The sequence below is a fragment of the Homo sapiens genome, chromosome 19, assembly GCF_000001405.40.
Source record: "Homo sapiens chromosome 19, GRCh38.p14 Primary Assembly".
Lineage (NCBI taxonomy): Eukaryota > Metazoa > Chordata > Mammalia > Primates > Hominidae > Homo > Homo sapiens.
This window is the reverse complement of record NC_000019.10, coordinates 12,916,699-12,944,525: the sequence shown is the minus strand read 5'-3', so window position 1 is coordinate 12,944,525 and position 27,827 is coordinate 12,916,699. Positions and strand designations below refer to the sequence as shown.

The window sequence follows — 27,827 nt, the reverse complement described above, 5'->3', positions numbered from 1 at the left end:
TTAAGTCTGTCTTTCCCCAGAAGGAGACACAGGAGGGAGACACAAAATTTAATTTAATAGAAATTTTGTTTGTAGTTCTTACATTCTCAGTGTGAGCCAATCTGGGACCCACTGCCCCACCCAGAAGTGGCCCAGTCCTGGGGGCAGGGGAGAAAGGGAGGGGTGAAATGAGAAGAGCCCCGTTCTTCCTCAGTGCTGGGGGGTTGGAGACACCACCCCCTTCTGCTGCCCTCCTCTGGGCTCCAGGAAGGAGAGCAGATGAAATCTCAGGCCTGTGGCTTCTCCACACCACTGCCCCCCAGGTTGGAGGGGAGCTAAGAGATGAGAGAAGGGGACAGAGGCAAGAAAAGATGTTGATCAAGAAAGATGAGAACCAGGGGTGAGGGCTGAAGGAGAATCAAAGATAAAATACCAGTTTAAAAAAAAAAAAAAAAAAGGGCGGGGAGGGGGTGGGGGAGAGTGGAGGAGGGGAACAAAACCAAAATCCACCCCAAATCCGAACCAGCCTGGAAAAAAATGAAAGTTCTCGAGTCTCACAGAGACATTATTTGGCGCGGCCAGCTCTGCGGCAGGAGCGCTCAGGCCTCAGTCCAGCCCTGGAGGCAGGCCTCTCTACAGCTCGTCCTTGGCCTGGCCGGGGACATCTTCCTCCTCATCTTCCTCCTTGTCCTCCTCATCCTCCTCATCCTCATCTTTGTCCTCATCATCCTCCTTGTCCTCTGCCTCCTCCTCCTCTTTGCGTTTCTTGTCTTCTTCCTCCTCCTTAAGCCTCTGCTCCTCGTCCTGTTTGTCCTTCATTTGTTTCTCTGCTGCCTGCAGGCAGAGCACACACCTCAGGGCCTTGCCCCCTGCCAGCCCTGCCCGCCCCCGACATCAGGACCAGGACCAGGCCTCACCTTTGTTACGCCCCACGTCTCGTTGCCAAACTCCTCAGCGTATGCCTCATCGTTGGTGATGAGGAAGTTGTCAAAGATGGTGCCAGACTTGACCTGGAGGATGAATGGGAAGGATGGTCAGAGGTGATACCCGATAGCCCTTGCTTTGGACAGGGTTTCCACCTGTGTTCCTATAACCACTATATTCTGCTGCCTGCATCTGCAGAGAAGACAAGGAACACCGCTGACACTGCAGTTAAAAAGATGGAGAGGCCAGGTGAGGTGGATCACGCCTGTAATCCTCGCCCAGAGGCCAAGGTGGGCGGATCACGAGGTCAGGAGATCGAGACCACCCTGGCTAACACGGTGAAACCCCGTCTCTACTAAAAATACAAAAAATCAGCCAGGCGTGGTGGCAAGTGCCTGTAGTCCCAGCTATTTGGGAGGCTGAGACAGGAGAATGATGTGAACCCAGGAGGCGGAGCTTGCAGTGAGCCAAGATCGTGCCACTGCACTCCAGCCTGGGTGACAGAGTGAGACTCCATCTCCAAAAAAAAAAAAAAAAAAAAAAAAGATGGAAAGATGGAGAGACAGCCAGGGACGGGACGGGCTCATGCCTGTAATCCCAGCACTTTGGGAGGTCATGGCGAACGGATCACTTGAGGCCAGGAGTTCGAGACCAACCTGGGCAACATAGTGAAACTCTGTCTCTACTAAAAAAAATTAGCCCGGGGTCTGTGATGGCGCATCCCTGTAATCCCAGCTACTCAGGAGGCCGAGGCAGGAGAATCGCTTGAATCTGGGATGCAGAGGTTGTGGTGAGCCGCCGAGATTGCATCATTGCACTCCAGCCTGGGCAACAAGAGTGAAATTCCATCTCAAAAAAAAAAAAGCCCAGCGTCGTGGCGCATGCCTGTAATTCCAGCTGCTCGAGAGGATGAGGCATGAGAATCACTTGAACCTGGAAGGCAGAGGCTGCAGTGAGCCGAGATCAAGCCACTGCACTCCAACCTGGGTGACAGAGCAAGACTCTGTCTTAAAAAAAAAAAAAAAAAAAGATGGAGAGACTCAGGTGCTGTACTGCCCAGGTTCAAACCCCAGCTTTGTGGTTTCCTACCCCCATGACCTTGGGCCACTGACTTCAGTTCTCTGCACCTGTTTCTTGTTTCTCACTCTCTTATTCAGGTATTTTTCAGGTACCTACTACATGCCAGAACTGTCTTGGGCACAGAAGGTATTTCAGTGACCAAAACAGACAAAAATTCAGTCCCAGCATTTTTTTTTTTTTTTGGGACAGAGTCTCGCTATCACCCAGGCTGGAGTGCAATGGCATGATCTCAGCTCACTGCAAGCTCCGCCTCCCGGGTTCACGTCATCCTTTTGCCTCAGCCTCCCGAGTAGCTGGGACTACAGGCGCCCACCACCACACCTGGCAAATTTTTTGTATTTTTACTAGAGATGGGGTTTCATTCACCATGTTAGCCAGGATGGTCTCCATCTCCTGACCTTGTGATCCACCCGCCTTGGCCTCCCAAAGTGCTGGGATTACAGGTGTGAGCCACTGTGTCCGGCCAAGTCCCAACTTTTTTTGAGAGGGTCTCACTCTGTCACCGAGGCTGGAGTGCAGTGACATAATCATGGCTCACTGCAGCCTCGATGCCCCAGGCTCAAGTGATCATCCTTCTTCCTTGGTAGTTGGGACTACAGGTATGCATGACATCTCGCCAATTTTTAAAGTTTTTGTAGAGGCTAGGCATGGTGGCTAACCCTTGTAATCCCAGCACTTTGGGAGGCCGAGGCGGGCAGATGACCTGAGGCCAGGAGTTCGAGACCAACCTGGGCAACATGAAGCCCTGTCTCTACAAAAAGGCTGGGTGAGGTGGCTCACGCCTGTAATCCCAGCACTTTGGGAGGCCAAGGTGGGTGGTTCATGAGGTCAGGAGATGGAGACCATCCTGGCTAACACGGTGAAACCATGTCTGTACTAAAAAAAAAAATACAAAAAAATTAGCCAGGCATGGTGGGGGGTGCCTGTAGTCCCAGTTACTCGGGACCCTGAGGCAGAAGAATGGAGTGAACCTGGGGGGTCGTGCGGAGCTTGCAGTGAGCAGAGATCACACCACTGCACTCCAGCCTGGGCGACAGAGCAAGGCACGGTCTCAAAAAAAAAAAAAAAAAAAAAAATTAGCCTGGCATCCATAGTAGCACATGCCTGTAATCCCAGCTACTCCGGAGGCTGAGGCAGGAGAATCGCTTGAAACCAGGAGACGGAGGGCGCAGTGAGCTGAGATCGTGCCATTGCACTCCAGCCTCAGCAACAAGAGTGAAACTCTGTCTCAAAAAAAAAAATTTTTTTTGTAGAGATAGGGTCTCCTCGCTGTGTTGCCAAGCTAGGTTGAGTTGTGTAACTCCTGGCCTCAAGCAATCCTCTGTCTCAGCCTCCCAAAGTACCGTGATTGTAAGGGTGAGCCACTGTGCCCAGCCCCAGCTAACTAACTGGGTTACCTGACCACCTTCTAGGTCTTTGGGGGTAAAGAAGTTGATTTGCATAAAAGTACTTGGGGAAGTACTTGGTGCACAGCAAGTATAACCTTAAAGGGGTTGCTGTGAGGACTTCACAGGGACAGACCAGGAAGTACTGTTTACAAGAAGTACCATTTTTGAGTCAGACTCACCTGGGGTGCCTACCCTGTCCCTTTCCTCTTGGGTGATCTTATGCACTTGAGGTACCCCAGGGATCCTCCTTTTTCCTCCAAGTCTCACCTGCCAGAGGTCCAGGCCCAGCACGCCAAAGTTATCATAGGCATAGATACTGGGATCGGGAGAATACTCGGGGTTGTCAATTTCTGGGTGGATCCAAGTGCCCTTGTAATCTGGGTTGTCGATCTGCCGGGGCTTCCACTCACCCTGCAGAAGGGAGAAGGAAACCGAAGGGTGAGTAAGGTTGGTGCACTCCCCACTGTGAGCCCCAGCCCTGCTCAGAGCCCCAAACTCACCTTGTACTCAGGGTTCTGAATCACTGGGGGTTCCCACTCTCCGTCCATCTCTTCATCCCAGTCCTCGGGCTTCTTAGCATCAGGGTCAGGGATATGCTCGGGCTTGTCCCAGTCCTGGGGGGTAGATGAAGAGATCAGAGTTGGCCCAGATGTCTTCCACACCCTCCAATGTGGAGAGCAGAGCCCCTGCCCAAACACCAACCTCAGGCTTGGAGTCTGTGGGATCATCGATCTTGGCCCGCTCATCCCAGTCTTCCGGTTTTGAAGCATCAGGATCCTTTATCTTCTTGGGTGGCAGGAAGTCCCAATCGTCTTCCAAGGAGCCGGACTCCACCTGGCTGTTGTCAATCTTCACCTCATAGGTGTTGTCTGGCCGCACAATCAGTGTGTACAGGTGTGTAAACTCATCATCCTGAAGAAGGAAGAAGGTGAGCGGGGGCCACCCCCCAATGAGGCTGACCTCTGAATCTCCCCATGACAGCCATTTGCCACCACCCCCAGGCACACCTTGCAACGGATGTCCTTGTTGATCAGCACGTTCTTGCCCTTGTAGTTGAAGATGACATGAACCTTCTTGGTGCCAGGGCCACAGATGTCGGGACCTAGGTGTGAAGCAGATCCAGTTAAGAGTCAGAGACTACCCATCATCTCGAGGCTCTCACCCCTCTTTATAAAAGGAAGACCTGGTTCTTCAACTCGGGTCTGTCAAGGCTGAGAAGAGAAACTCAGACCCTGATTCTGTCCTGAATGGGCTGTGGGTGGAGCCTTAAGTTTAAAGGAGAAAAAAAAAAAATCAGTGCTCTAGAACTCAAAATCCTCATTAGTAAGATTGGGAAATAACTATATACAAACACGCAAATTAAATTAACAGCCTAGATCTGCGATCATAATGCAATAAATTGTTGCTGGGACTTATTCTTTTAGCTCCCCTTCCAAAAAAAATCATTATTAAGAAAGTCAATGGGGTCTGGGTCTCCCTCTAACTAATGGGACAGAGATCAGCACCAGGAAGCAGGCCCTCACCAAACATGATGTTGTATTCTGAGTCTCCGTGCATGTCTGTCTGGTCCAAACTATTAGGAAACAGCTTCACATAGCCGCCCCCACAGTCGATGTTCTGCTCATGTTTCACCGTGAACTGCACCACCAGCGTCTGGCCTTTGTTGCTGAAAGGCTCGAAACTGGCCGACAGAGCATAAAAGCGTGCATCCTGGCTTGTCTGCAAACCTGAGACGGGACGGTAGTGAGGTCACCGTTGGGCCTTGACTCGCGAGGACCCTCGACTTAGAGAATAGAGAAGACTCCCCCACTTCCTCCACCTGTCCTCCTCCAAGGGGACTGTCCCGGCTGTGTGTGTACAGACAAGGACTTCTGCCAGGAAGTCCTCCCGGATCTGAGCACCCACTCCTAGGCTCTTACCTTTATCTTTCTCCTCGTCACCGTAGAACTTGCCGGAACTGAGAACGAATTTGCCAAAATCTGACTTGTGTTTGGATTCGATCCAGCGGGAAGTCCACCCGTCTAAGTGGGGGATTAGAGGGGTAGGTCAGAGCGGCTGTGCTAATCCCCCCCCACACCAAACATCTGCCGAGAGCCACAAGCTGCTGGGGACAGGAAAGGAGATCCCCGACACTCCCCATTCCAACCTCTAGTTTGACACGTCGGGTGCCTTCAGAGATCCTCGGGCTAACCCTAACTCCCGCCGCGGGAGGCCGCTACGCCCTCCGCGCTCCCCAGGGACGCAGAAGAGAAATCGCCCGCGGCTCTAGTCCCGGGAGGCCACCGTGTTGGACCTCTAAACGGTAATTACGGGCGACAACGCAGATCCAGGATCGGGGGCCGGCCGCGTCGTCGGGGCGGCCTCGAGGCGGGACCAGGCGTTACCTCCGTCCAGAAACTGCTCCTTGAAGTAGACGGCAGGCTCGGCGACGGCCAGGCCGAGGAGGCCGAGCAGCAGCGGCACGGATAGCAGCATGGCGGGCCGAGGGGGCGGCAACGCGCGGGCCCTTTAAAACGACCCTCCGGCAGCGGCTCTGCAGTACGGACGGACGCCGCCGCCCGCCTTGCACTTTTATACCCACCCGCCTCTCAAACCAACCTGACCCAGCCCTTGGGCCCGCCCCTGCCACTTTGTCATTGGTCTATGCCCATGGCCGTCTTTTTCCATTGGACCTTCGTCGGTTCACTATGTTAGGCTGCGCCTCGGAACGCTGGGTTCCCAGATGGCCGATTTCTATTGGCCTCACCACCGACCAATGATGGTCGACCACGCGTGGGGGGGACGCCCACTGGTGGGGTGGGGGCCGCGAGCACCTCAGGCCAGGTCATGTGACCAGACCTGAACCCAACCCCGCCCTCGTCCGCGCGCGTCGTTGCCCATCTGGGCGTTTAAAGAAACCGCGGGAGCGCAGCTGTCTCCACGCGGGACCGGGACCCTGCCCTCAGCTTCTCTCCCTCCCATTCCCTCTAGGTGGAGGGGCTGGGCAAGGCTTTCTTAGCCAGCTCTTATCTTGCATTTGAGAACCAGCACCCCACTGCTGCTCCCCCACCCCTGCCTGGGATGGGAGAGAGCTCACGGATTGGGGCCCTTGGGGCTTCGCTGCACCCCGGTGCTACAGTCACGCGGGCCGGTGGGAAGAATGCCAGCCCTCTCCTCCTTCTGCCCCTAGAGCCCTGGCAGCCTATCGGACTGCTGCTGTGTGACCGGGGCAAGTCACTTAAGCTCTCTGAAGTGACAGACGTTCCTGAGCAGACAGAGGGGGCGACCCTGGCCAGATGCTACCCAGCAGAAATGCTTTTAACGTTTTTAAAGCTGTCCTGGGACAAGAGGGGAGGAAGGCTTAACGATGTGACTGTGACTTCTGGAGTGGGGATAGGGTTATTACCCAGATTGCAGCCGCCCCTTTACCCTCCTCTCAACCGGTAAATGAAGGGGGTCGCTGTCTGTGGTCTCCCACAAACGGCCTGGCTTTTGCAATTAAACGGCTATAGGCAGGCGAGAGGGCAGGGGGTTCCGTTTGGGGAGGGAAAAAAGACACAGATGGTAGGGACGATAAGATGCTAGGGAGATGGGCAGGACCCACCCCCCGACCCCAGTCTAGAGTCTTCTTCAGAAGCCAGAGGCACGTGACTGGCACCAGTACCCTGCCCCCACGCTGTAGAAAGGAGGAAGGAGAGCTGGGGGTTTTCCAAACTCTGGGCAAATAAGCCCTGGACCTGGGAGCGCGGGAGTGGACTATGGAAGGAGGGAATGAGGGGGATCCAGGAAAGAGGGTGGGGAGGGGGTGCTTCCTGGCTAATGGTTGTGACTCAGAAAAGAGAGGAAGGAAAAAATGAAAAGGAAAATAAAGTGGAGTGGGGGGAATGACTTGGCAAGGGTCTCTGGTTAAAAAAAAAAAAAAGAAATGGTGGCCGGGCGCAGTGGCTCACGCCTGTAAACCCAGCACTTGGGGAGGCCGAGGCGGGCAGATCATTTTAGGTCAGTTCGAGACCAGCCTGGCCAACAAGGTGAAAACCCATCTCCACTAAAAATAAAAATAAATAAATAAATAAAAATTAGCCAGGCGTGGTGGCGGGTGCCTCTAATCCCAGTACTCGGGAGGCTGAGGTGGGAGAATCGCTTGAACCTGGGAGCCAGAGATTGCAGTGAGCCAAGATCACGCCACTCCACTCCAGCCCACCAGCCCAGGTGACAGAGCAAGACTCCATCTCGAAAAAAAGACGGGGGAGAATGAACTGGGAAGTTGGGGTTCTACCACTTCCTCTAGGTAGTATTCAGTATTGCCTAGTCTGGTCCCCCCCATGAGGATCCCGGGGACCATCCCAGGCCTCTTGCTGACCCTTCCTCCTGTTCCTGTGTCAGGCACCTGTGGGCTTGGCGCTTCCTACTTGAGGTTAGACACTGCCTGTTTTGTTCACTTCGCATCCTCCAGTGTCACCTGCAGCACCTGGCACAGAACAGGCTTAAAAAGTACTTGCTGCATGATAGAAGAGAGGAAGGAAGGACTCTTGTGGAAATTAACTAAAAACACACGGGGCACAGTGGCTCACGCCTGTAATCCCAACACTTTGGCAGGCCAAGATGGGAGGAATGCTTAAGGCCAGGAGTTCAAGACCAGCCTGGGCAACATAGCAGGAGGCCATTTTTACAAAAACATTTTTTTTAATTGCCAGGCGTGGTGGCGCCTGCCTGTGTTCCCAGCTACTCAGAAGGCTGAGGCAGGAGGATCACTTGAGACCAGGAGGTTGACGCTGCCGTGAGCTGTGTTGTTGCCACTGCACACTCTAGCCTGGGTTACAGAGCAAGACCCTGTCTCAAAAATAAATAAAAATAAGCCGGACATGGTAGTTCACACTTATAATCCTAGCACCTTGGGAACCTGAGGCAGGCAGATTGTTTGAGCCCGGCAGTTCAAAACCAGCCTGGGCAACATGGTGGAACCTCATTCTTACAAAATATATATATGTACACATATGTAATATATTATATATGACATATAATGCATAAATATATGAATAGTATGTATATTATATATAGCATATAATATATAATATACATAACACAAATTAGCCTGGCCTGCTGGTACACACCTGTAGTCCCAACTACTCGGGAGGCTGAGGTGAGAGGATTGCTTGAGCCCAGGAGGTGGAGGCTGCAGTCAGCCAAGATCATGCCACTGCACTCCAGCCTGGGCAATAGAGTGAGACCCACTCCCTAAATAAATAAATAAATAATCAACATAAAATGGGAGGAGAGAAGGGACTTTGAGAAATGTATCCTTAATACAGAACCTCATATAGGGTCAGGATTTGGGGATATGAGTAATCCCATTTTACAGACTCAAATAATAATTGTGATGTAAAAGGAATAAATGTGTTCTGCTTATAAGAGTGTTCGAACATGGGCCACACTCAATTTAGTAAGCAGTGTGAATATGTGTGGGCATTTAATTCTCACAGTAACCTGGGCTCCAATCACCTCCATGTGAGCAAGAAACTGAGGCACAGAAAGACTACACCTTCTGGTTGAATGACATAAATAACAGATCTAGGATTCTTTTTTTTTTTTTTTTTTTTTTTTGAGACAGAGCCTTGCTCTGTCACCGAGGCTGGAGTGCAGTGGTGCGATCTCTGCTCACTGCAAGCTCCACCTACCAGGCTCAAGTGATTCTCCTGCCTCAGCTTCCCGTGTAGCTGGGATTACAGGCACCCCCACTGCACCCAGCTAATTTTTGTGTTTTTAGAGGAGATGGGGTTTCGCCATCTTGGCCAAGCTGGTCTTGAACTCCTGACCTCAGGTGATTCACCCGCCTCAGCCTCCCAAAGTGCTGGGATTACTGAGCCTGGCCAGCAGATCTAGGATTCTAATCTACCTGTGCTGACGTAAGTCACCACTGCCCACATGTGATTACTGACCATTTGAAATGTGGTTGGTCCGAACTGAGATGTGTTGTAAGTGTAAAATACGCATCAGATTTTGAAGATTTAGTATGAAAAAAAGTGCAATTTTTTTTTTTTTGAGACGGAGTTTCGCCTTGTCACCCAGGCTGGAGTGCAATGACACGATCTCGGCTCACCACAACCTCTGCCTCCCAGGTTCAAGCGACTCTCCTGCCTCAGCCTCCCAAGTAGCTGAGATTACAGGCATGCGCCACCACGCCCTGCTAATTTTGTATTTTTAGTAGAGACGGGGTTTCTCCATGTTGGTCAGGCTGGTCTCAAACTCCCGACCTCAGGTGATCCACCCGCCTCGGCCTCCCAAAGTGCTGGGATTACAGAGGTGAGCCACTGTGCCCGGCCGAGTGCAAAATATTTTATTAGTCATCTTTTTTTTTGTAAGAGTCAGGGTCTGGCTGGCTGGGCGAGGTGGGTCATGCCTCTAATGCCAGCATTTTGGGAGACCGATGCAGGAGGATAACCTGAGCCTAGGAGTTTGAGACCAGCCTGGGCAACATGGCCAAAACCCATACTTAAAAAAAAAAAAAAAGCTGGGTGTGGTGGCGCGCACCTGCAGTTCCAGCTACTCAGGAGCCTAAGGTTGGAGGATCCTTAGAGCCTGGGAAGTCAAGGCTGCAGTAAGCCATAATTGCACCACTGCACTCCAGCATGGGTGACAGAGCAAGACCCTGTCTCAAAAAAGAAAGATGTTTTGCACTGTGTTTCTATAGGACAGTGCTAATCTAGGCCATGCAGTATTTGCACTGACGTTACTCTCAGCGCACAGGGGTGGGAGGATCTGGAAGGTTTATAATTTATGACTTCATTTCCACCAACTCTCTGTAGAACCTTGGGCAAGTCATACCACCCTCTGAGCCTCAGTTTTCTCACATGTGTAATGCGGTTATATCAGTATCTACATCATAAAGTTTTGGGGATAAATGAAATACTACACGTGAAGTACTCAGTTCTGGGCTAAGTACTACCACATACGAGGTAGTCCACACAGGTTAGGTGCCACCTTGACTTACTAGGTGAATTCCTTTTCCCTCTATAAAAAGGGACGGTACCTACCCAGCCTTCCTTTGAAATTTTAAAAGTAGCTGACATCGCCAAAATGACCATCTCTGGAGCCCACCACCCACCGCCTCTCCTAGGGCAAGAGAGAATACCAGAAGGGCAGAGGGTTCTGTAACCCAGAGACGGGGAAGTCCAAGGTCACACAGCCCGCTCGAAGTGAGGCTAGATAAAACTCAAAACAGGGCGGTGCTTCTGACCTTGAGATAATCAATTTTACCCCTCTGGTCAACCAGACGCCATTGATGGAGCCAGGGTGGAGGTGGGAACTGAGTCCCATGCACCTTTTGCGGCTCCGTCGCCACACTCAAGATGACGACACATTGAGCCCTGTTCTACAGTTAGACACATTCAAGATGGCGGTACACACTCCGGTTCCGGTTCCGGTGGCTCAGCTCCCCCCGCCCACCCGGGCCCGGACACGCTGAGCACACTGGAAGGAGTCATGGCGGATGGTCAGGTGGCGGAACTGCTGCTCCGGCGGCTGGAGGCGTCTGATGGCGGCCTGGACAGCGCCGAGTTGGCGGCTGAGCTGGGCATGGAGCACCAGGCGGTGGTGGGCGCCGTGAAGAGCCTTCAGGCGCTGGGCGAGGTGAGCCGGGCCCGTGATGCCGGACCGCCTTGCCCTTGCACCTACAGTCCCCTTGCCACGGGCGCTCTACGTCCAAGCCAAATTCCCTCAGGCCTAGTTTGGGGTAGCTGTATATGTGTCCACTCCGGGATGTGCGGGCGGGAAGTGGGACGAGTGAGGGCCCAGACGCACGGATGTTCCTCATGCAATAAACGTTTATTGAGGCACGGTCAGCGTGGGTAGAGGGTACGATGATGGACGAGGAAGTCGCGGTTGCTGCCCTCACGCAGGTTGCGACGTAATAGGAAGGTGCTTCAAGAACCAGAGTGATGGGGGAAAACAGGGGACCCAGCTGTGACAGCTGACCCAGCCTTGGGGGTCAGGGAGAGCGGCCTGGTGCAGGTGACGGCTGAGTCTGTTCTCTGTTGAGGAAAGTGATAGCACTTTAGAGATCAGTGGCCGGGATCTTGGGGGATGGCAGGCGGCAAGGGAGACCAGCATAGCTGTAATTGCAAAGCCTCTTAGGTCTTTACCTCATGAGGGAACTGGGAAGCGATAGCAGGAGCTAGAGCCGGTCAGATGAGTGTGCTATCCACATCACCTTTGGGAAGAATTGGCATGGACAGGACTGGAGGTGAAGGGATGAAAGAAGAAGCTGGCACTTCCCCAAGCTGGAGGGCATGATGTCTGGCTATGGGAAGGAAGCTTGGGGGAGGTGGGGAAGGCGTGGGATTCAGGACAAGGCAGGGGGCGCACAGATGAAGTCCAGCCTTCTGACTTGGGCAAGTGGACAGTGACAGAGTCACAGGCGTAGGATGCTGAGGGGCCCGTGGGCCACCCAGAAGGCTAGATCCATGGGGCCAGGATCTGGGCTGTTTATCCGTAGAGCTCATGTTCTGTGCCCCACTTTGGTCTCAGCTTGTTTGTCCAATCCATTCCATAATCCTGGCTGATGGCCATGTTATTCCCATTTTGCAGATGTGACAACTGATGGTCAGTAACATAATCAGTGTGAATAGAAGAGGCCGATGAGCCCAGATTTGAAATTAGGCACTCAGGCTGCAGAGCCCATAGTCCTCAATGCAGAGGAGAGATGGCAGCTGTGTTGTGTGGGGTGACAGTGCCTTGACCAATATGATCTGACATTTGTATACGTCACAGAGGGTTAAATAATATAAGGAGGTGAGGTTCAATCTAATGACAGTAATAGCCATAAAAATAATTATAGTAATTAGAATTTATGCCGGGTGCAGTGGTCACACCTGTAATCCCAGCACTTTGGGAGACCAAGGCGGGTGGATCACGAGGTCAGGAGTTCAAGACCAGCCTGGCCAAGATGATGAAACCCTGTCTCTACTAAAAATACAAAAAAAAATTAGCCAGGCGTGTTGGTGGGCACCCGTAATCCCAGCTACTTGGGAGGCTGAGGCAGAGAATTGTTTGAATCGGGAGGTGGAGGTTGCAGTGAGCCGAGATCGCACTCCAGCCTGGGCGACAGAGCGAGACTCCGTCTCAAAAAAAAAAAAAAAAAAAATTTATGCAGTGTTTGTCACGTGGTAGGCACTATATATTCTTTCTGAGTATTAATTTAGCTACTCCTTAAAATCATCTGAGGTAGAACCCATCACACCTTTCTCTTATGGATGAGAAGAGTCACTGAGAGGTTAAGCAACTTTCCTGAGGTCACACAGTAAGTGAAGGGCAGAGTTGGGATTAGAATGAAGTGGGAGCCAGGCCCTGTGCACTCTACTTACCCTTGTTGTCCTTGTCTTCATGACTCTGGACCTGGAACCTCAGTTTTTGTTTGTAATGTGGACCTCCAGGGCCCGTCTCTGACATTCTGGGCACTGACATGTGAACATTTAAACATGGAGACAGGCTGGGTATGGTGGCTCATGCCCATTATGCCAGCACTTTGGGAGGCTGAGGAAGGAGAATCACTTGAGGCCAGGAGTTTGAGACCAGCCTGGACAACATAACAACACCCTGTCTTTAAAAAGTAATTTAAAGGGCCGGGCACGGCGGCTCACGCCTGTAATCCTAGCACTTTGGGAGGCGGAGTCGGCCGATTACGAGGTCAGGAGTTTGAGACCAGCCTGGCCAACATGGTGAAACCCCATCTCTACTAAAAATACAAAAATTAGCTGGGGGTGGTGGTGGGCACCTGTAATCCGAGCTACTCGGGAGGCTGAGGCAGGAGAATCATTTGAACCCGGGAGGCAGAGGTTGCAGTGAACCGAGATCGCACCATTGCACTCTAGCCTGAGCGACAGTGCAAGACTCCGTCTCAAAAAAAAAAAGTAATTTAAAAATTAACCAGGTGTGGCGGCACATGCCTGTAGTCCCAGCTACTCGGGACTGGCGGAAGGATCGCTTGAGCCCAGGAGGTCTAGGCTGCAGTGAGCTATGATCACACCACTGCACCCAGCCTAGTGACAGGGTGAGACCCCCTTTCAAAGAAAACAAAAACAAACAAAAAAATGTGGAGACATATCAGTTCACCTAATTTTTCACATTAAAATCTGTCACAGGTTCAAAACCGACAGAATTTGTCTTCTGCCAGGTAACATCTTTAGTGGTGTACTTTACCCTGGGAGGTGTAAACTATCATTATTACTACCCCTGTGTTACATAAGGGAAATGGAGACACAGCAAGGGGAAGTCTTTCCCTTGAGACCACTTGGCTGTAAAGTTGTATAGCTGGGATGTGAACCTAGCTTTAAGGGCTGTGCTTTCAACCTGGGACCCAGCGCTGCAGAAAGGGGGTGCCTGGCTCTGAGCCTCACCCCTGCCTGGACACCCTCCCCACATTTCCCTCTAGGTCATCGAGGCTGAACTTCGGTCCACCAAGCACTGGGAGCTTACTGCGGAGGGCGAGGAGATTGCCCGGGAGGGCAGCCATGAGGCCCGTGTGTTTCGAAGCATTCCCCCAGAGGGCCTGGCCCAGAGCGAGCTTATGGTAGGAGCTGCGGGGTGAATGGGGAGTGAGTGATGGGATGAAGGTGGCCCTCGTGCCCCACTCACTGCAGCCTCTCTTTTCCAGCGACTGCCCAGTGGCAAAGTGGGCTTCAGCAAGGCCATGTCCAACAAGTGGATTCGGGTGGACAAGAGTGCGGCTGACGGGCCCCGGGTGTTCCGAGTGGTGCGTTCCTGCGGGCTGGTCAGGGGGCAGGTGGACGGGCACATGGGCCCCTGGCCCTCATACCCCTCACACTCCTTATCCTGGCAGGTGGACAGCATGGAGGATGAGGTGCAGCGGCGGCTCCAGCTGGTCCGGGGGGGACAGGCTGAGAAGCTGGGGGAGAAGGAGAGGAGCGAGCTGAGGAAGAGGAAGCTGTTGGCTGAAGTGTGAGTGGGTGCCCCCTGCAGGCTCAGGCCCCCACCACCTGCGAAGCATGGTGGAGGCATGGTGGGAGGGAGACATCTTGCCCACACCAAGCACAGGTGTGGCCAGTTTCCTCCCAGCTCGCTTAATGCCATAGTTGTCAAGCCTACGTGCCTTGGGGTCTTTGCCCATGAGGACCCTTCTGCTGAGAACTGTTTTCCCTCTGATCTTCAAGATAGGCTCCTCATCAAGTCTCTCTCCTGTGTCCCCTTAAAGAGGCCACCCTGACAGCCCTCCTCTCCCCTTGAGTTCCATGAAGCCCATCGCCCCTAGTCTTCATCTTTGGTGCTTGTTCATTTCTTTCACTGTCCTTAGTGTGGTCCAAAGTTTAATGAACACACACCAGACAGGCCTCTGGAACCTAGATGGGCTAGGGGCCGTCCTCTCACAGGACAAATGTCCCCTTTGAGCAGACACAGAGTGGCAGAGAGAAGAGACTAGAGCTGGGATGCCTAACTGAAGTTCGGGCTCTGTCACTTAACTAGTTTTATGACCTTGGCCAAGTCACCTGGCCTTTGCTGGTCTCCGTTTCCTTATCTATAAAATAGCCTGGGCCAAGTGTGTGGCTCACGTGTGTAATCCCAGCTACTCAGGAGGCTGAAGTGTTAGGATCACTTGAATCCATGAATTCAAGGCCAGCCTGGGCAACATAGAGAGACCCCCATCTCAAAGAAAAAGGGGCCAGGCACGATGGCTCATGCCTGTAATCCCAGCACTTTGGGAGGCCGAGGCGGGCAAATCACCTGAGGTCAGGAGTTCGAGACCAGCCTGGCCAACATGGTGAAACCTCGTCTTTACTGAAAATACAAAACTTAGCCGGGTGTGGTGGCGGGTGCCTGTAATCCCAGCTACTCTGGAGGCTGAGGCAGGAGAATCGCTTGAATCTGGGAGGTGGAGGATGCAGTGAGCTGAGACCGTGCCATTGCACTCTAGCCTAGGCAACAAGAGCAAAACTCTGTCTCAAAAAAGGAAAACAAACAAACAAATAAAAAAAACTGCCCTCTTTCCGGGGCTTGTGGGGAGACTTTTGCAGAACAGAGCCTGGCACAGAATAAATCTGCTAGACTTTCCCTAGTATCATCACTCAGTCGTGTACTTAGCACCTTGAACAGACCCTGGCACACATTAGGTTCTCAGTAAGTGTTGAATGAATCAGTGAGTGAATACAGGGAGATACAGCATGGTCACATAGGAGGATTTCAGGTAGTGATAAATGTCAGGATGGAAATAAAGCAGAGTGACTTGGTAGGTAGCATGGGGATCCTCATCAGACGGGAGATCAAGGAAGTCCTCTAGGAGGAGATGGCAGTGGCGTCCCCTTCCTTCCCCTGGCCACAGGACTCTGAAGACCTACTGGGTGAGCAAAGGCAGTGCCTTTAGTACCAGCATCTCCAAGCAAGAGACAGAGCTGAGCCCAGAGATGATCTCCAGGTAGCAGGCAACCCCAGGGTCAGGGCAGGTGGGAGCTGGGGCAGGGGGCAGGGGCGGGCAGCCCTTACCAGGCCCTTGCATCCTCCCCCAGTGGCTCTTGGCGGGACCGGCCCTTCAAGCCCTACAACTTCTTGGCCCACGGTGTCCTCCCCGACAGCGGCCACCTTCACCCGCTGCTCAAGGTCCGCTCCCAGTTCCGACAGATCTTCCTGGAGATGGGGTGAGCACAGGGCTGGGGGCGGTGCCTGGTGCTTCTGCTGGGTACAGGCAGGGCAGTCAGGCTGTGTCTCCCACCAGGTTCACCGAGATGCCGACTGATAACTTCATTGAGAGCTCCTTCTGGAACTTTGACGCCCTCTTCCAGCCCCAGCAGCACCCAGCCCGTGACCAGCACGACACCTTCTTCCTTCGAGGTGGGTCAGCCCCTAGGGCCTCCCTGAGACATGAGAGACACCAGGCCACGGCGGAGCCTTTACAGGATGGGCATCCCATTTGATCAAATTAGGTCTAGAACTGGGCATGGTGGTGTGCACCTGTAGTCCGGCTATTTGGGAGGCCAAGGCAGGAGGATTGCATGAGCCCAGGAGTTCAAATCCAGCTCAGGCAACATAGGGAAGAATCTACCTCTAAAAAAATTAATTGAGTTAAATTAAAGTCCATCCTTGTTGGATGTGTCAAGCTCTGTTCTCATTATGCCACCTGCAGTCTTTTTTTTTTTTTTTTTTTTTTTTGAGACAGGGTCTCACTCTGTCGCCCAAGCTGGAGTGTGCAGTGGCATGATCTTGGCTCGCTGCAAACTTTGCCTCCCAGGTTCAAGCGATTCTCCTGCCTCAGCCTCCCGAGTAGCTGGGATTACAGGTGCATACCACCATGCCCAGCTAATTTTTGTATTTTTAGTAGAGATGGAGTTTTGCCATGTTGGCCAGGGTGGTCTCAAACTCCAGTCTGCCTCGGCCTCCCAAAGTGCTGGGATTACAGGCGTGAGCCACCGCACCTGGCTTTTTTTTTTTTTTTTTTTTTTTTTTGAGACAGTCTCATTCTGTCGCCCAAGCTAGAGTGCAGTGGCACGATCTCAGCTCACTGCAATTTCCACCTCCTGGGTTCAAGCGATTCTCCTGCCTCAGCCTCCTGAGTAGCTGGGATTACAGGCACCCGCCACCACGCTCGGCTAATTTTTGTGTTTTTAATAGAGATGGGGTTTGCCATGTTGGCCAGGCTGGTCTGGAACTCCTGACCTCAAGTGATACTCCCGCCTCAGCCTCCCAAAGTGCTAGGATTACAGGCGTGAGCACCACGCCTAGCCCAAAATTAATGAATTTTTGTTTTGTTTTGTTCTCACTATGTTGCCCAGGCTGGTCTCAAACTCCTGATCTCAAACAGTTTTGCCTCAGCCTCCCAAAGTGCTGGGATTACAGGCATGAGCCCCCACACCCTGCCTGCCCCCATGTCTTCTTTGGGCATTCCAGGCCGTGCACACCTCAGGGCCTTTGCTTATGTTCCGTCTTTAGCCAAGAGCTGTTTTCTCCCAGATCTTCAAGGCAGGCTGCAGCCTCAAATCTCTGCTCACGTGTCACCAGAGACAGGCCAGCCTAACACTCCCGGGCTCACCCCGAGTTCTACAGAAGCCCTTCTCCCCTAGTGTTCATTCTTCTGTCCCATTTCTTTCTTTCATTGCCCTTAGCACTGTCTGAAATGGAATGACTTCCCACAATGGGGTGGCCTTCCTGACCAAGAGGGCAGTTGAGGTCATTGGGTGCCGGCTTACCTGGCCAGAGGAGCAACATCATTCTTGTCATTATTGTCATAGCACCCAAAACTTACTAAGCACTCATCACATACTAGCCACTATTCTAATCTTCCTGCCAACTACTGGAAGCAGTACTGTTACCCCTTTTTACAAAGAAGGAAACTTGGCCAGCCTCAGTGGGTATAATCCCACTGTTTGGGAGGGCAAGGGAGGAGGATCGCTTGAGCCCAGGAGTTTGAGAACAGCCTAAGCAACATAGAAAGACCCATCTGTACAAATAAAATTAGCTGGGCATAGTAGTGCACGCCTGTAGTTGCAGCTACTCGGGAGGCTGAGGTGAAGGATTGCTTGAGCCTGGGAGTTTGAGGCTGCAGTGAGCTATGATTGCATCACTGCACTGCAGGCCAAGCAACAGAGCAAGACTTTGTCTCTTTAGGCCGGGCGCGGTGGCTCACGCCTGTAATCCCAGCACTTTGGGAGGCTGAGACGGGCGGATCGCGAGGTCAGGAGATCAAGACCATCCTGGATAACACAGTGAAACCCCGTCTCTACCAAAAATACAAAAACAATTAGCCAGGCATAGTGGCGGGCGCCTGTAGTCCCAGCTACTCGGGAGGCTGAGGCAGGAGAATGGTGTGAACCCTGGAGGCGGAGCTGGCAGTTAGCCGAGATCATGCCACTGCACTCCAGCCTGGGTGACTGAGCGAGACTCCGTCTAAAAAAAAAAAAAATTTTGTCCCTTTAAAAAAAAAAAATAGGCCGGGCGCGGTGGCTCACGCCTGTAATTCCAGCACTTTGGGAGGCCACGGTGGGTGGATCGAGACCATCCTGGCCAACATGGTGAAATCCCATCTCTACTAAAAATACAAAAATTAGCTGGGCATGGTGGCGTGTGCCTGTAGTCCCATCTATTCAGGAGGCTGAGGCAGGAGAATCACTCGAACCTGGGAGGCAGAGGTTGCAGTGAGCCGAGATCGCGCCACTGCACTCCAGCCTGGGCGACAGAGCGAGACTCCGTCTCAAAAAAAAAGAAAAAATAAAAAGGTCGGGCGCGGTGGCATGATCCCAGCACTTTGGGAGGCCCAGGCAGGCGGATCACTTGAAGTCAGGAGTTCGAGACCAGCCTGGCCAACATGGTGAAACCCCACGTCTACCAAATATAAAAAATTAGCTGTGTGTGGTGGTGCACTTCTGTAATCCCAGCTACTTGGGAGGCTGAGGCAGGAGAATTGCTTGAACCTGGGAGGAGGAGGTTGCAGTGAGCCAAGATCATGCCACTGCACTCCAGCCTGGGCAACAGAGCAAGACTCCATCTCAAAATACATACATACATACGTACATACATAAATAAAGCCCAGGTGCAGTGGCTCATGCCTGTAATCCCAACACTGGGAGGCCGAGGTGGGTGGATCACCTGAGATCAGGAGTTCGAGACCACCCTGACCAACATGGCGAAACCCCATCTCTACTAAAAATACAAAAATTTCCCGGGTGTGGTGGCAGGCACCTGTAATCCCAGCTACTTGGGAGGCTGAATCAGGAGAATTGCTTGAACTTGGGAGGTGGAGGTTGCAGTGAGCCAAGATTGAGCCATTGTACTTCAGCTGGGCCAACTGAACAAGACTCTGTCTCAAAAAAAAAGAACCCAAAAAAGCCACACACAAATGAGAAAACTGAGGCACGAGAATCACTTGAACCTGGGAGGCAGAGGTTGCAGTAAGCCCAGATTGCACCACCGCACTCCAGCCTGGACAACAGTGAGACCCTGTCTGAAAAAAAAAAAGGGGTGGGAAATGCTCGTTGACTGACCTGATGTTGCTCTGTCCTGCCCAGATCCAGCGGAGGCCCTGCAGCTCCCAATGGACTATGTCCAGCGGGTCAAGCGGACCCACTCTCAGGGCGGCTACGGCTCACAGGGGTGAGGCAGGACTTACCTGGTATGGAAGGGAAGGAGGCTGGGGACCCCTGGGCCATTGCATGGACTTCCCACCTTCCCTCCTGAAGGTACAAGTATAACTGGAAGCTGGACGAGGCCCGGAAAAACCTACTGCGAACCCACACCACATCAGCCAGCGCCCGTGCGCTCTACCGCCTTGCCCAGAAGGTGCGGTTGGCCCAGGCGGGGGCCCCAGTGGGGAGAGGGTGCTGTCAAAGGGACCTTCTGACCCATACCTGGGCCTGGCTCGGTTGTCACCCCTAGAAGCCCTTCACTCCGGTCAAGTACTTCTCCATCGACCGCGTATTCCGGAATGAGACCCTGGACGCCACGCACCTGGCTGAGTTCCACCAGATCGAGGGCGTGGTGGCGGATCATGGTCTCACCTTGGGCCACCTCATGGGCGTTCTGCGGGAGTTCTTCACCAAGCTGGGTGAGCAGGGGGGCAGGGGTGGGCCATGGTGGTGAGGCAGCGGGCAGGTGTGTTGATCACCAGCATTATCCTCCAAACCCCTGCTCTCCTGCCCGCCCCCCACTTCCTGCAGGTATCACGCAACTCCGCTTCAAGCCAGCCTACAACCCATACACAGAGCCCAGCATGGAGGTGTTCAGCTACCACCAAGGTCAGGGTAGGCCCTGGTACTGGGGTGGGAGGGAGGTCTCAGGCTACTATGGTTTGGCCTGGGTCCCCCCATTGCCATGCCTGTACCCCACCTCCCAAGCTCACCACCTAGACCCAGAACCTGTACCAGCAGTGCCCAGAAACTCAACACGCACTGCCCGTCTTTTCTGTCCTGCCTCTGCAGGCCTGAAGAAGTGGGTGGAGGTCGGAAACTCGGGGGTCTTCCGTCCAGAGATGCTGCTGCCCATGGGGCTTCCCGAGAACGTGTCGGTCATTGCCTGGGGCCTCTCCCTGGAGCGGTAAGTGCCCAAGTGGAAACTCGGGGTGTCCAGCTGCCTCAAATAACTCTCCAGGTATAGGGGCCTGCGTGGTTTCAGCACCACCCATTCATTCATCCAATGGACAAAACTTTCATCGTGAGTACAAACTGAATGCTCAGCCCCGTGCTGTGAACATGACAGCTTATGTCCCTCCCTCTGAATCTGGGGTCCCAGTGGAGCGAGAAGGATGATAACTAGCAAGACCAACAAGTACATCAGGCCAGGCGTGGTAGCTCATGCCTGTCATCCCAGTGCTGTGGGAGGCCAAGGCAGGAGGATCGCCTGAGCCAGGAGTTTGAGATCAGCCTGGGCAATAGAGCAAGTCTCCGCCTCTACAAAGAATAAAAACAGGCCAGGCGTGGTGGCACATGCCTGTAATCCAAGCACTGTGGGTGGCTGAAGCAGGTGCATCACCTGAGGACAGGAGTTCGAGGCCAGCCTGGCCAACATGGCGAAACCTCATCTCTACTAAAAATATAAAAATTAGCCTGGCGTGGTAGCAGGTGCCTGTAATCCCAGCTACTTAGGAGGCTGAGGCAGGAGAATCGTTTGAACCCAGGAGGCAGAGGTTGCAGTGAGCCAAGATCATGCCACTGCACTCTATTCTAGTCTAGACAACAGAGTGTGACTCTGTCTCCCGTCTCTACTAAAACTACAAAAATTAGCCAGGCACTGTTGCGTGCGTCTGTAGTCCTAGTCCTAGGTACTCAGGAGGCTGAGGTATGAGAATCACTTGAACCTGGGAGGCGGAGGTTGCAGTGAGCTGAGATTACGCCACTGCACTCCACCCTAGGTTACAGAGTGAGACTCTGTTTCAAAAAAACAAATGCACTCAGCAAAAGAAGACAGAAGTGTGTACCAGGGCAGTAAGTGGTATAGGGAGGGCTAAGGCAACTACGTGGTCAGTGAAGGCATCATGGAGGAAGAAGTGCCACCTAAGCAAAATCTAGAGGTAGATAAAGAGGTAAACCATGAGAGTATCTGGGGAAGGGTGTCCCAGGTAGTGGTCACAGTCAGTTCAAAGGCCCAGAGGTGGGAATGTGCTTTTTGTATTAGGAGAAGAGTGAGGAGGCTGGTGTGGCTGAAGGCGGAGGGTGAGAGGTGATAGAGCAGTTGGCGCAGGGCCCTGTGGGTCATGGGGAGAACTTGAACTTTTCCTCTGAAGAAGATGGGAGCCATGGAAATCTGAGCAGAAGGGTGCACGTGCTGACCTCATGATAAACTCTGTTCCCTCCCCCACAAGCCCAACGATGATCAAATATGGCATCAACAATATCCGGGAGCTGGTGGGCCACAAGGTGAACCTGCAGATGGTGTATGACAGTCCCCTGTGCCGCCTGGATGCCGAGCCGAGGCCCCCTCCCACACAGGAGGCTGCGTGACATGGGCCACTCTAGGACAGGTCATCCTCCCCGAGTCCCTGCTGCTGCGCTCCTTTGCATCCCTGGCCAGTGACCTTGTATTTATGAGGCCTCTGTGAGGCCAGCCCCCACCTTCCTCTTTCCCACCTGTCCCAGGACCAGAATCCCAGGGACAGAGGACTGGGTAGCAGGTTCCTTCTGTTGTCCTGTGTGGTGTGTCTACTGTGAGGGTGGGCCCTGAGGAGACCTGTGGGCCACCTATTGTCTAATAAAGTGGGCAGTTGCCCCCATCTGGTGGCTTTCCTTAGGGGTGAGGGGTCTTGTTGGGTCCCCCTAGCTCAGTGTGCCACTTGATGGTCAAAATTCTGGGTACTGGGCTGGGCGAGGTGGCCCGCGTCTGTAATCGCAGCACTTTGGGAGGCTGAGGCGGGCGGGTCACGAGGCCAGGCGATCGAGACCATCCTGGCTAACAGGGTGAAACCCCGTCTCTACTAAAAATACAAAAAAAAAAAAAAAAAGTATGGGTACTGAGCCAGGCACAGTGGCTCACTTCTGTAATCCCAGAACTTTTGGGAGGCCAAGGTGGGTGGGTCACTTGAGGTCAGGAATTCAGGAGCAGCCTGGCCAACGTGGTGAAACCCCATCTCTACTAAAAATAAAAAAATTAGGGCTGGGTGCGGTGGCTCATGCCTGTAATCCCAGCACTTTGGGAGGCTGAGGCGTGTGGATCATGAGGTCAAGAGATTGAGACCATCCTGGCCAACATGGTGAAACCCTGTCTACTAAAAATACAAAAAATTAGCCGGGCGTGGTGGCGGGTGCCTGTAGTCCCAGCTACTCAGGAGGCTGAGGCAGGAGAATGGTGTGAACCTGGGAGGCGGAGCTTGCAGTGAGCGGAGATCGCACCACTGCACTCCAGCCTGGGCAATAGAGCAAGACTCCGTCTCAAAAAAAAAAAAAAAAAAATTAGGCTGGGCGTGGTGGCTCACGCCTGTAATTCCAACACTTTGGGAAGCTGAGGCAGGCAGATCACTTGAGGTCAGGAGTTCGAGAGCAGCCTGGCCAACGTGGTGAAAACCCGTCTCTACTAAAAATACAAAAAAAAAGCTGGGCGTGGTGGTGAGCACCTGTAGTCCCAGCTACCCGGGAGGCTGAGGCACGAGAATCGTTTGAACCAGGAGGTGGAGGTTGCAGTGAGCCAAGATTGTGCCACTGCACTACAGCCTGGGTGACAGAAGAAGACTCTGTTCCAAAAAAAAAAACAAAAAACAAAAATTAGCAGGCATGATGGCAGGCACCTGTAGTCCCAGCTATCTGGGAGGCTGAGGTGGGAGAATCACTTGAACCCAGGAGGTGGAGGTTGTAGGGAGCTGAGATCACACCACTGCACTCCAGTCTGGGCCACAGAGTGAGACCTGTCCCCCAAAAACAGAAAACAAAAATTAGCTCAGCATAGTGGCTCATGCCTGTAATCCCAGGTACTCCAGAGACTGAGGTTGATCACTTGAGCCTGGGAGGTCGAGGCTGCAATGAGCCGTGATTACACCACTGCACTCCAGCCTGGGCAACAGAGTGAGACCCTGTCGTTAAATACATATTTATGTGTCTAAATAAACACAAGTACCCTGGAATCTTGCCATTTCCATCAAATCTGAACTTTGGCTGTGTAGGGGTGAAGAGAAAGCTTCCTTATTGCCCTCTGAAGTTTCACTAAAAATTACTGAGAAAAGGCAGATTAATAAGAGAAAAGGAATACGAATGTATTTGATCATAGTGTTACCTGACAAGCCTTCAGAATGAAGATCCAGAGATACAGGGGAAACTGTGTTTTTGTTTTGTTTTGTTTTGAGACGGAGTCTGGCTCTGTTCCCTGGGCTGGAGTGTAGGGGCGATCTTGGCTCACAGCAGCCTCAGCTTCCCAAGCAGCTGGGATTACAGGTGCCCGCCACCATGCCTGATTAATGAAAAGTGTCTTATGCTTAGGTTCAGCAAAGTTTGAACACCCAGGTAGAAATTTGATTGGACAAAAAGGGTTTGTCGTGGTTCATACTTGTAATCCTGACACTTTGGGAGGCTGAGGCGGGTGGATCACTTGAGGCCAGGAGTTTGAGACCAGCCTGAGCAACATGGAAAAACCCCATCTCTACTAAAAATACAAAAATTAGCTGGGCATGGTGCATCTGTAATCCCAGCTACTTGGTTGGCTGAGAATCGCTTGAACCTGGGAGGCCAAGGTTGCAGCGAGTTGAGATCTTGCCACTGCACTCCAGTGTTGCCTGGACAACAGAGCAAGACAAAAAAAAAAAAAAAAAAAAAAAGCCGGGGGGGTCGTCTAATACTAATAGGCTGAGTGGGGAAACCCAGCAAGGCCTATCTGTCTAGATTCTTCTTGGAGTCTCAGGAATGCATGCTCAGAGAGGCCAAGAAGAATCTAGATAGATAGGCCTTGTGTGGGGCAGAAACTTCTTTGAAACGGGGGTCTTATGACCTACAGTCAATAGGGTAGATCAGATAATTTCTTCTTTTTTTGAGACAGCACTTTGGGAGACCAAGACGGGAGGACGGCTTGAGCCCAGGAGTTGGGGATCAGCCTGGGCTCAGCACAGTGAGATCTCATTTCTACAGGAAAAAAAAATATAATTATGTGTGTGTGTGTGTGTGTGTGTGTGTGTATATATACATACAATCTTTTTTTTTTTTTTGAGACGGAGCTTTACTCTGTCACCCCGGCTGGAGTGCAGTGGCATGATCTCAGCTCACTGCAACCTCTGCGTCCTGGGTTTAAGCAATTCTCCTGCCCCAGCCTCCCGAGTAGCTGGGACTATAGGCGCCCGCCACCACGCCCGGCTATTTTTTGTATTTTTAGTAGAGACAGTTTCACCATGTTGGCTAGGCTGGTCTCGAACTCATGACCTCAGGTGATCCACCCGCCTCGGCCTCCCAAAGTGCTGGGATTACAGGCGTGAGCCACCGCGCCCGGCCAGAAAAATATTTTTAAATTAGAAGGGCCTGGTGAATGACACTGCTACTCAGGAGGCCGAGGCAGGAGGATCGCTTGAACCTGGGAGGTCGAGGCTACAGTGAGCTGTGATCGCACCACTGCACTCCAGCCTGGGCGACAGACCAAGATCTTGTCTCAAAAAAAAAAAAAAATTGTTATGGAGTATATTTTCCAAGGCAGAGTGGATGAAGTTAGAAGCACCGAATAAATACAGGACTCTGAGATCCGTATAACCTGGGCGCCCCGTGGAACCCAGGAGCCTCACAGGGGCACACAAGCGCACCCAGAGCGCGCCGTCCTGCTCCCAAGGGGCGCCGACTGCGCGCGCAGCCCGCGGACCGCGAAACTGCTGCTTAACGGTCGGCCCCGCCCAGTTGGCCGCGCAAGTTCTCAAAGAGGGCGGGGCCGGGAGCACGCGTCACAACACACTCGTCCGCGGGAGCGCAGCTGGCCAGGGGCGGGGTCGGCGCATGCGCAGAGGGTGCGAGCTTGAAGGCGGGAAAATACGGAATGGAGCGACAGGGAGTACGCGGCGCTTGTTTCCTTCTCGCGCGTGGGGCGGGCGGACAGATAGGCAGGGAACGGCTGCGATCCCAGCCATCTCCAGCGGACCCGAGCCCGGCCGCTTGTCCTTTGCCATTGGGGCTCCCTCTCATCAGGCCTGGCCTCAAATTTCCTGACTGACTGAACCCGGCCCTGACTGACGCACTGACGGGTCTGATTTCCACACATGGCGCGTGGCCGGAACGGAGTAGAGAAAGGCACAAACACCCACGCACCGCACCCGTTTCTTTCATTTCTTTTTTTTTTTTTTTTTGAGACGAAGTATCACTCTGTCGCCCAGTCTGGAGTGCAGTGGCGTGATCTCGGCTCACTGCAACCTCTGCCTCCCGGGTTCAAGTGATTCTCCTTCCTCAGCCTCCCGAGTAGCTGGGATTACAGGCACGCACCACCACGTCAGCTAATTTTTGTATTTTTAGTAGAGACGGGGTTTCACCATATTGCTCAGGCTGTTCTCGCACTCCTGACCTCGTGATCCGCCCGCCTCCGCCTCCCAAAGTGCTGGGATTACAGGCGTGAGCCACCGCGCCCGGCCTCATCTCTTTTCTCCTACCTCTTCTCCTTTCTCGAAGGACTCCAGCCAACACACATACCAGTTAGGAGCCCAGGTCCTCCAGTTACATTCCCACAGCCCTGCCCTCACCCGGCCCCTCTAGGTCTGGTGTCCTGGTGTCCCCTAGGGACAGAGTGTCCTTTCACCCCATGCCCCTGCCCTCATGGCACCTGCCCCAGCCCTGCCCGTCTTTCCTGCGGGTCCCCACCGTCCCGCAGCAGCACATCGAGGTGACCAGGGTTGAAGGGTCGGCAGGAGGGCGATCTGTTCACTCCTCATCCTCCCTCCTTGGCCTCCGTCCTGACTGTGCTTGCAGGTGGACGTGCCCCATGTGAAATGCAAAGACCAGGAACCGCAGCCCTTGGGGGAGAGCAAGGAGCATCCGCGGTGGGAAGAGAACTGCGAGGAGGAAGCTGGTGGAGGGCCAGCTAGGTGAGGAAGATCCCAGCCCTATGGGTCTACACAGGCCCCTGGGTCCCTCTCATTCACCCTTTTCTTCCACAAGGCTATGCCAGTGTCTGCTGCTTTTTTTTTCCCTCCTAACACAGCGTCTTGCTTTGTCACCACGCAGTGGCATGATCACGGCTCACTGCAACCTCCACCTCCCAGACTCAAGTGATCCTCCCACCTCAGCCTCCGAAATGGCTGGGACTAGAGGCGGGCCAGAATGTCGGGCCAATTTATTAAAAAATATTGGCCAGGTGCAGTGGTTCACACCTGTAATCCCAACACTTTGGGAGGCCAAGGCGGGTGGATCACCTAAGGTCGGGAGTTTGAGACCAGCCTGACAAACATGGAGAAACCCCGTCTCTACTAAAAATACAAAATTAGCTGGGCATAGTGGCACATGCCTGTAATCCCAGCTACTCAGGAGGCTGAGGCAGGAGAATCGCTTGAACCCAGGAGGTGGAGGTTGCAGTGAGCTGAGATGGCGCCATTGCACTCCAGCCTGGGCAAAAAGACCGAAACGCTGTCTCAAAAAAAAAAAAAAAAAGCCAGGAATGGTGGCTTATGCCTGTAATCCTAGCACTTTGGGAGGCCGAGGGGGGTGGATCAAAAGGTCAAGAGATGGAGACCATCCTGGCTAACATGATGAAACCCCGTCTCTACTAAAAATACAGAAGTTAGCTGGGTGTTGTGGTGCACGCCTGTAGTCCCAGCTACTCGGGAGGCTAAGGCAGGAGAATCGCTTGAACCCCAGAGGCAGAGGTTGTAGTGAGCCGAGATCATGCCACTGCATGCCAGCCTGGTGACAGAGTGAGACTCCGTCTCAAAAAAAAGAAAAAAGAAAAATTTAGTAGGCCGGGCACGGTGGCTTACGCCTGTAATCCCAGCACTTTGGGAGGCCAAGGCAGGCAGATCATGAGGTCAGGAGTTTGAGACTAGCCTGGCCAATATGGTGAAACCCTGTGTCTACAAAAATTAGCCAGGCATGGTGACAGACACTTGTAATCCCAGCTACTCAGAAGGCTGAGGCAGGAGAATTGCTTTAACCTGGGAGGCAGAGATTGCAGTAAGCCAAGATTGTGCCATTGCATTCCAGCCTTGGTGACAGAGCAAGACTCTGTCTCAAAAAAAAAAAAAAAAAGTATATATATAGTAGAGGCTGGGCGCAGTGGCTCACGCCTGTAATCCCAGCACTTTGGGAGGCTGGCGCTGGCAGATAACTTGAGGTCAGGATTTCGAGACCAGCCTGGCCCACATGGTGAAACTCCGTCTCTACTAAAAACACAAAAATCAGCCAGGCGTGGTGGTGCATGCATGTAGTCCTGGCTATTCAGGAGGCCAAGGCAGGAGGATCCCTTGAGCCCAGGAGTTTGAGACCAGCCTGGGCAACAGAGGGAGACATATCTCTCTGAAAAAAAAGAAAGAAAGAAAGAAAGAAATGAGCGTGGTGTGGTGCGGTTGCACACACCTGTGGCCCTAGCTACTTGGAAGGCTGAGGTGGGAGGACC

The 27,827-nt window shown here is 53.0% G+C and overlaps 3 protein-coding genes, 1 long non-coding RNA gene and 2 other non-coding genes across 7 annotated transcripts in view, besides 14 other annotated features; 2 read left to right on the top strand and 4 right to left on the bottom strand.

Annotated features, from left to right (window-relative positions):
- Positions 37-5,917, bottom strand: CALR (calreticulin). Its single transcript, NM_004343.4, has 9 exons — positions 5,756-5,917; positions 5,291-5,392; positions 4,895-5,098; positions 4,379-4,473; positions 4,074-4,283; positions 3,872-3,985; positions 3,639-3,782; positions 897-989; positions 37-813 (listed from the first exon to the last, which is right to left on the bottom strand). Exons 1-9 carry the CDS (start codon positions 5,844-5,846, stop codon positions 613-615), a joined length of 1,254 nt encoding a protein of 417 aa, NP_004334.1. The 5' UTR covers positions 5,847-5,917; the 3' UTR covers positions 37-612.
- Positions 3,434-4,633: an enhancer, noted in NCBI's record as "MED14-independent group 3 enhancer chr19:13050707-13051906 (GRCh37/hg19 assembly coordinates)". NCBI's record gives its function as "activates an origin of replication core promoter dependent on BRD2, BRD4, P300/CBP and CDK7 cofactors, and independent of MED14, by STARR-seq in HCT116 cells {active_cell/tissue: HCT116}" and the evidence as "EXISTENCE:reporter gene assay evidence [ECO:0000049][PMID:35650434]".
- Positions 3,470-4,097: an enhancer, noted in NCBI's record as "H3K27ac-H3K4me1 hESC enhancer chr19:13051243-13051870 (GRCh37/hg19 assembly coordinates)". NCBI's record gives its function as "activates a minimal SCP1, AML or CMV promoter by ChIP-STARR-seq in naive H9 embryonic stem cells {active_cell/tissue: H9 hESC(naive)}" and the evidence as "EXISTENCE:reporter gene assay evidence [ECO:0000049][PMID:30033119]".
- Positions 3,986-4,042, bottom strand: MIR6515 (microRNA 6515). The gene has a single exon (NR_106770.1). It is a non-coding gene; the product is annotated as a microRNA 6515 (primary transcript).
- Positions 4,870-5,619: an enhancer, noted in NCBI's record as "H3K27ac hESC enhancer chr19:13049721-13050470 (GRCh37/hg19 assembly coordinates)". NCBI's record gives its function as "activates a minimal SCP1, AML or CMV promoter by ChIP-STARR-seq in naive H9 embryonic stem cells {active_cell/tissue: H9 hESC(naive)}" and the evidence as "EXISTENCE:reporter gene assay evidence [ECO:0000049][PMID:30033119]".
- Positions 5,526-5,575: an enhancer, noted in NCBI's record as "active region_14098". NCBI's record gives its function as "activates an Ori minimal core promoter by ATAC-STARR-seq in GM12878 lymphoblastoid cells {active_cell/tissue: GM12878}" and the evidence as "EXISTENCE:reporter gene assay evidence [ECO:0000049][PMID:35858748]".
- Positions 5,677-6,315: a transcriptional cis regulatory region, noted in NCBI's record as "promoter|chr19:13049025-13049663 region (GRCh37/hg19 assembly coordinates) targeted for CRISPR interference". NCBI's record gives its function as "negatively regulates RAD23A gene expression in K562 cells {active_cell/tissue: K562}" and the evidence as "EXISTENCE:mutant phenotype evidence [ECO:0000015][PMID:31784727]".
- Positions 6,246-6,295: an enhancer, noted in NCBI's record as "active region_14097". NCBI's record gives its function as "activates an Ori minimal core promoter by ATAC-STARR-seq in GM12878 lymphoblastoid cells {active_cell/tissue: GM12878}" and the evidence as "EXISTENCE:reporter gene assay evidence [ECO:0000049][PMID:35858748]".
- Positions 6,366-6,475: an enhancer, noted in NCBI's record as "active region_14096". NCBI's record gives its function as "activates an Ori minimal core promoter by ATAC-STARR-seq in GM12878 lymphoblastoid cells {active_cell/tissue: GM12878}" and the evidence as "EXISTENCE:reporter gene assay evidence [ECO:0000049][PMID:35858748]".
- Positions 7,722-7,851: an enhancer, noted in NCBI's record as "active region_14095". NCBI's record gives its function as "activates an Ori minimal core promoter by ATAC-STARR-seq in GM12878 lymphoblastoid cells {active_cell/tissue: GM12878}" and the evidence as "EXISTENCE:reporter gene assay evidence [ECO:0000049][PMID:35858748]".
- Positions 9,475-9,580: a silencer, noted in NCBI's record as "fragment chr19:13045760-13045865 (GRCh37/hg19 assembly coordinates)". NCBI's record gives its function as "represses an EF-1alpha promoter that drives an FKBP-Casp9 reporter gene in an ReSE screen in phorbol 12-myristate 13-acetate-treated (for megakaryocytic differentiation) K562 erythroleukemia cells {active_cell/tissue: K562(+PMA)}" and the evidence as "EXISTENCE:reporter gene assay evidence [ECO:0000049][PMID:32094911]".
- Positions 10,617-10,911: an enhancer, noted in NCBI's record as "tiled region #7930; HepG2 Activating DNase unmatched - State 1:Tss, and K562 Activating DNase unmatched - State 1:Tss". NCBI's record gives its function as "activates a minimal TATA promoter and a strong SV40 promoter by Sharpr-MPRA in HepG2 and K562 cells {active_cell/tissue: HepG2 | K562}" and the evidence as "EXISTENCE:reporter gene assay evidence [ECO:0000049][PMID:27701403]".
- Positions 10,617-11,132: a biological region, named in NCBI's record as "Sharpr-MPRA regulatory region 7930".
- Positions 10,633-11,132: an enhancer, noted in NCBI's record as "active region_14094". NCBI's record gives its function as "activates an Ori minimal core promoter by ATAC-STARR-seq in GM12878 lymphoblastoid cells {active_cell/tissue: GM12878}" and the evidence as "EXISTENCE:reporter gene assay evidence [ECO:0000049][PMID:35858748]".
- On the top strand, positions 10,815-22,047 carry FARSA (phenylalanyl-tRNA synthetase subunit alpha). The gene is made up of 13 exons (NM_004461.3): positions 10,815-10,976; positions 13,777-13,914; positions 13,999-14,097; positions 14,185-14,303; positions 15,679-15,771; positions 15,863-15,991; positions 16,069-16,184; positions 19,352-19,436; positions 19,523-19,622; positions 19,719-19,887; positions 20,000-20,077; positions 20,261-20,375; positions 21,640-22,047. Exons 1-13 carry the CDS (start codon positions 10,830-10,832, stop codon positions 21,776-21,778), a joined length of 1,527 nt encoding a protein of 508 aa, NP_004452.1. The 5' UTR covers positions 10,815-10,829; the 3' UTR covers positions 21,779-22,047.
- Positions 11,143-11,212: an enhancer, noted in NCBI's record as "active region_14093". NCBI's record gives its function as "activates an Ori minimal core promoter by ATAC-STARR-seq in GM12878 lymphoblastoid cells {active_cell/tissue: GM12878}" and the evidence as "EXISTENCE:reporter gene assay evidence [ECO:0000049][PMID:35858748]".
- FARSA-AS1 (FARSA antisense RNA 1) lies at positions 11,230-14,004 on the bottom strand. The gene is made up of 3 exons (NR_149078.1): positions 13,980-14,004; positions 11,489-11,556; positions 11,230-11,377 (listed from the first exon to the last, which is right to left on the bottom strand). It is a non-coding gene; the product is annotated as an FARSA antisense RNA 1 (long non-coding RNA).
- MIR5695 (microRNA 5695) lies at positions 24,122-24,206 on the bottom strand. The gene has a single exon (NR_049880.1). It is a non-coding gene; the product is annotated as a microRNA 5695 (primary transcript).
- Positions 25,233-27,827, top strand: part of SYCE2 (synaptonemal complex central element protein 2) — a 20,508-nt gene continuing 17,913 nt past the window's right edge. For both annotated transcript variants that reach the window (XM_011527882.3, NM_001105578.2), the window contains exons 1-2: positions 25,233-25,283; positions 26,189-26,304. In XM_011527882.3, the coding sequence (XP_011526184.1) occupies positions 25,269-25,283; positions 26,189-26,304 (131 nt within the window). In that variant the 5' untranslated portion in view covers positions 25,233-25,268. The remainder of the gene's footprint in view (positions 25,284-26,188; positions 26,305-27,827) is intronic.
- Positions 25,414-25,553: an enhancer, noted in NCBI's record as "active region_14092". NCBI's record gives its function as "activates an Ori minimal core promoter by ATAC-STARR-seq in GM12878 lymphoblastoid cells {active_cell/tissue: GM12878}" and the evidence as "EXISTENCE:reporter gene assay evidence [ECO:0000049][PMID:35858748]".